The sequence below is a fragment of the Homo sapiens genome, chromosome 5, assembly GCF_000001405.40.
Source record: "Homo sapiens chromosome 5, GRCh38.p14 Primary Assembly".
NCBI lineage: Eukaryota > Metazoa > Chordata > Mammalia > Primates > Hominidae > Homo > Homo sapiens.
In genome coordinates, this window is record NC_000005.10 from 152,994,819 (window position 1) to 153,001,007 (window position 6,189).

The 6,189-nt window shown below is 36.9% G+C and overlaps 1 annotated feature.

Moving 5' to 3' along the window:
* Positions 5,739-5,908: an enhancer, noted in NCBI's record as "experimental_83450 CRE fragment used in MPRA reporter constructs". NCBI's record gives its function as "activates a minimal promoter by MPRAs in K562 erythroleukemia cells, with activity observed for both the introgressed and non-introgressed 5:152380202 variant alleles {active_cell/tissue: K562}" and the evidence as "EXISTENCE:reporter gene assay evidence [ECO:0000049][PMID:34662402]".

A 6,189-nucleotide genomic window follows, 5' to 3' on the forward strand; every position in this document is an offset into this window, starting at 1 on the left:
CATTGTATTAAAAATAATTACATCACTTTGTTTGTCATGAATATATACAACTATAATTTGTCAATGAAAAATTAGAAATAGGACTAGTAAAATCTACCTGGTAAGGTTACAAAAAGACTGAGAGATGAAGATGAAATTTGTAGATACCTAGCCATAATTGACAATCAGTGTAAGGTTATAGCTGGGTTAGTAATATAATTTTTAAATGAACTCTGTTATTTTTTATGAGACCCTAAGTCATTTAGTTGACTCTCAGATTCATCATTAATACAATGAGACTAATATGATCTACTCCATGGATTCATTCCTTCAACAAATATTTATCAAACACCTTCTCTGTTCCAGCACTGGATTAATTACTGAGAGCACAATGATAAACAATAAAAGGATAACTCTTTTCCTGATGGTGCTTAAGGTCCATAAAAAAGAGAAATATTAAACAATGGTAAATATAAGATGACTGGTTAGAATAAGTTCTAAAGAAAAAGTCCAGAGGCTATAAAGGGGAAACCTACTTTAGAAGGGGAAATCATAGAATGATTCAAAAGAAGAGACATTTAACCTTAGATTTTAAGAATGAATAGGAGTAGCAAACCACAGAATGGCATGACGAATGTCAAACAAGAGAATGACATATATAAAGGCCCTGTTGGGGATTATTCATTTGTTAAATAAATGGTTAATGGGGACCAACTGTTCTGTAGGTCCTGGGGATTAGAGGGTAACAAAACAGATGATTTCCACCTGTGTTGTTTATATTGGTGAAAGAGTATGGCAGATAATGCATTTAAATCACTAGCACAGGGCATGCCACAAAGGCAACACTCTCTAGGTTGTTAATTATTAAGATCACTGTAGCAATAATAATTATTATAAAAGTAACAATACATGCTCTTCAAAGAGGCTTTTAAGAAGACACTGAGCCAGCTACTATTTTGTGTGTATATAATGCTAGCTACTACCTTGTACCCAATTACCTAAGAACCAGCAGATTTCTTTCTAAATGATCCTATCTGAGACCTAAATACCTCTGAATCTTTCTGTTAGGGAACTGGAAAGAATGGAACATATAATGTGTCTTTCCTGAGAGTCAATAGTAAACTTCGGGACCCAACATTCTAATCCTAGATCTGCCAACTTTGGCTGACCTAATCACCTTAAACAACCCCGTCTGTTTGCTGAGACTAAGGATTAGTATCTATAAAAACAACATTTTATTTGACCTACAGAGTTCTTTTGCTTTTAACTGTACCCAAATTTTAAAATAATTTTTATATTAATATATTGACCTTTCTAAAAAATAAGAAGACCTGGTCAACAGGATTAATAACCTTAAATAATGACCTGTGGAGCTCTGGAGTGGCTGCCAAGTGTTCCCGTCCATACTGAGTCTATATCTTTCAGTTATGCCACCTGTGTGGACCCAATATGTCTTTGAGTCTGTGAGCCTGGACTCAGTAGTAAATAGCTGCATCAGGCAAAACATTCCCTATTCCAACAGAGCTCACATATTCATAAAATATTATTTTATATATTTGATGTGTGTAACTCCCTAACATTTCAAATAACAACATACCTATGGTAACTCACATTTCCTAAACTACATTTTTACATTTTGATCAAGGCTGCTTGATTATTTGTACTTAGTATTTCTATAGGGTGGGTTCTTTTTTGCCTCATTTCTAATTATTATTCTCATTCCTCAAAGCCCTCCATCCATATTCATAAAAGTGATGCTCCATTTTGATCTCAATTTATGTGATTTTTATCTAAAGTTTCCTTAGCATTTTTCCTAGCCTTGTCAGGGATTCTTATACATGTTAACTCAAGTTCATATTCCTTAAAACTTTTAGGTTTTCAAGAAAATAAGTATTCAAAATGCATCCAAGTGCTCAATTTATTTAAAATCCTGTAGAAATGCATTTGATAATCTTATTAATCATTTTTCTTTCAGTCACTTGGTGTACAGACAAAACAAATAACAGGCAAGTTTAATGTCTAATCAGTAGAAGCTGGCCCATTGGTTTCACCATAAAAATGGCCACAAGCAAACTTCAGAAGTACCTGCAGAAGCATGTGAACAACCAGGGCAGATCTTGCTAGCTCTGCTTCCATGGTAGAAGGAAAGACACATAGCCTGTCTTATTGAGATTTCCCTGCTAAAAAGCCACTTTGCCACCAAGACAGTCAGAGACAGATTTGTTATGAGCAAGTTTATGTTAATACCAATAACATTTCTGAAGAAGATTCCCAGAAGTCTCTTCTCTTAACATTCTGATCTTTAGATAACAAAGTCACTGGTTGAAGCATTTGGTTTTGACCACGTCAAGGATCTTCTTAACAATTCTATCACATTGCGAAAAATAAATAAATTTTGACTGAGTTACCTGCTTGCCTAAGCAGACCAGACACATTAGTTCATTTGATAGATCTTTGAAGATCCATGATTTGAGGGAACACAGCCACTCCAACCTGTAATTCACTCTGCTATTGATAGAGACTTCTCAATTGTTTGAAAGCATTCTTACTAGAGCCAATGATCTCAGCCTTGTGTCTAGGACACTTCCTAAGGTCACCATTTTTAAAATTTTTTTTAGGTGGAGTCTTGCTCTGTCACCCAGGCGGGGGTGCAGTGGCGCCATCTCAGCTCACTGCAACCTTCACCTTCCGGCTCAAGCGATTCTCCTGCCTTAGTCTCCCAGGTGGCTGGGACTAAAGGCGTGTACCACCACACCTGGCTAATTTTTTGTATTTTTAGTAGAGACAGGGCTTCACCGTATTAGCCAGGATGGCCTCGATCTCCTGACCTTGTGATCCACCCGCTTAAGCCTCCCAAAGTGCTGGGATTACAGCTATGAGCCACTACACCCGGCCCAGGTCACCATTTCTTATAAAGCACCCAATCACATGCCTTAGTCTCACTCTTAAAACTCATCCTCTAAGCATTACACACTAATGCTTAGAAAAACCAAGACATAAAGATTGAAGGTGAGAGTGGTATAATTTTTCTGAATGAAGAATATGATAGCATATGTGAAAGGAAAATGAAACCTCAGGACCCCAAACTCAGCATGCTAAAGGGAAAAGTTAAACTCGGGAAATGAGTCGTGTAAGATCTGTTCTCCCCTTTTTCCTAAACAGATCGCTATAATTTCACATTCTTACTTTATCTTATGTGAAATGTAGATCTACTAAGTGTGAGACAAATGCCTAACTGGCTTTTTCACCCACTCCCCTCTTTTCACATGTAAAATGTGGATTCAATGAGTGCTAATAAAAGCCTCACAAGCGTGTGACCACCTACCTCACTACCTCCCCTCCTCTCTTTTTTTTTTCTTCTGCCATTCTTTCCACATTAAATATTAAAGTCCTCAAAACCCTCTTAGAAAAAGCTCAGGCCACAGACCCTACTGTAACTTGTGTCTCTTTTTTCCTGGGGACATCCTCGACCTTGGCAAAATAAACCTCTCAAGTGATTGAGACCTGTCTCAAACACTCTTTGGTTTAAACATGAAAACAACACCTTTTACTTTATGCTTGTAACTTCATAACTAAAATAGTTTTTTACAACAATATTTGTGAGCCTTATTTTTTTTTTTTTTTTTTTTTTTTTTTTTTTGAGACGGAGTCTCGCTCTGTCGCCCAGGCTGGAGTGCAGTGGCGCGATCTCGGCTCACTGCAAGCTCCGCCTCCCGGGTTCACGCCATTCTCCTGCCTCAGCCTCCCGAGTAGCTGGGACTACAGGCGCCCGCCACCACGCCCGGCTAATTTTTTGTATTTTTTTTTAGTAGAGACGGGGTTTCACCGTGTTAGCCAGGATGGTCTCGATCTCCTGACCTCGTGATCCGCCCGCCTCGGCCTCCCAAAGTGCTGGGATTACAGGTGTGAGCCACCGCGCCCGGCCTTGTGAGCCTTATTAATTCATCCAAGGGTCTCCGTTTTACCTTCAATGTTCAAACCATCCTTTTTTGAAGGCTCTATTTTTTCCTTATACTTGCTGACTTAATCTTCCTCAGTAGACCAGTCACACTCTCTCAGAGCCTTACTTGTCAATGCATTTGCAAGATGTTCCAGCATCACTTTCATAGACTTTACAGAAGTCTTGCATACTGCAAGATTTGCAATTTTGCCTGGCAATTAATTGTTAATGAAATTCCACTGTATTGTCTGACATTCAAAACATGCAATAATCAGCAAGAGACTGACCTATACAAATGCAAAGACAACTCTTTAACATGAATGTAGATTGTGTTGAAATTAATAAAATAGAAATTCATTTGAATTCATAGTGACTTTTAAATTATAGGTTTATTCACTCAAAAATATTAAATGTACAATTATTATAACAAGAACAAAATTTGGGCCTTGGATTTTTGAATGTGAAAGACAGAAATCCTTTCTTACTTGAGAAAGTGGGCAATGAGTGACCTAGTCCTATGGTTCTCAAAGAGATGTTCCTGAAAGAATAGCATCAGCATCACCTGAGAACATGCTAGATGCTTTCAAAATGAAAATTCTCAAGTTACTGAATCAGAACCTCTATAGGCAGAGCTCAGAAATCTGTGTTTTACCTAACTTTCCAGGTGAGTCTGATGCATGACAAAGTGTGATAACCACTGATTCAGTTAAATCTTGTTTTACTGAAGGAAGTAAAACCTAGAGAATAAAATGTAATATTGCTGAGGTACAAGAACAGGCAAGAACAAAGTTCTGACTTCATGCAGTGTACTTTCCTCCTTTTTAATAATACTCAGAAATTCTATATTAACATGGGAACTACAAAGTTTGCTGTGTGCCTGCTTAATTATCACTTCTATTTTATGAATAGCTTTTATCTCCATTTTATAGATGAGAAATGCTCAGAGGAAGTCAGGTACAAAGTCTCATTTAGTAGGGGGTTGAGCCTGGATTCAACTTTATTTTTTCAAACTCAGGGCTGCATTCATTTAACTAAAGCATCTGATCCACCCAACCCATCTATACATTTTCAGAAGGCAGAGCTATACTTTCTTTATATATTTTTTCATTGTCACAACATTTGAATTATGACTATAGACTCACCCCCTAGTAAAGGAAACAGCACAGTATTTCACAGAAATCCTATTTCTGTCTCTATACTTCTATATCCACAGTTAATTAAATTCACTACTTTCTAAACTTCAGAAACAAATGCAAAAACCAAGCTATCTACATCAGATTGGCCAGAAAAGTTATTTTTAATCCTCATTGTTATGTATAAGATGATTCTTGTTATACATTTTGGGGCTGTTGTTTCAAATTCTTAATATTTTAAGTAGTGTTCATTTATTATATTTGAGGCTTCAGGCTATGTTAGCAAGTGGCACAATTTTAGAAATCTGAAAAAAAAATTAAAATGCCATGTGGTAAGATAATAATATGATAACGTATAGATTCTCAATATAGAAGTAAATTTTCTTCTTCACAAAAAGGCTACTGATAACAATTATCATCATCAATAATCACTAATACTTATTGAGGTCTTACTAAGAACTAGAGAAGCATTTTATATATAATATTTCTCATAATTCTCACAATAATCTTATGATGATAGTACCATTACTGTAACCATTTCATGGATGCAGAAACCAACTTTCATAGATTAAATAAATTGCCCAAAGCAACAGAGTCTGTAAACCCAACCCCAGAGTCCACAACCCAATCCCAGACTACTAGTCCAGTGCCCAGATGTTCACCACCACACTATACTGCCTCCTAAAGCAGTGACCTCCACTGCCCTGCCCAAGTCCCAAGAGCTTTTACATGGAGTCTCAAATGAGTAGACTGATAAGCAAAGGCCCCACAATCTGACCATAACCTACCACAGTCCAGATTTATTTTATGCTTCTTCCTTTCATGCTGCTTCTATTCAAGTCTGCTTTTATTTTCATATCAGCTAGCTGTTTCCTAACTCCAAGCAGTCCTGCTCCTCTATTGTTAATATAACCTTCTCCATTCTACATTTCAGCCTATTCAAAATTAACACTTCCATCTCAATTCTATCCAGTTCATTTTGAGTTTCCAGTCATGGTAACAATATATTAGTTTTGCCTTATCTACACAGTATATGTTCCAAGACCCCCGGTGAATGCCTGAAACTACAGACACTACCAAACCCCATATTTACTATGTTTTTTCCTATGCATACATAGTTATGATGCAGTTTAATGT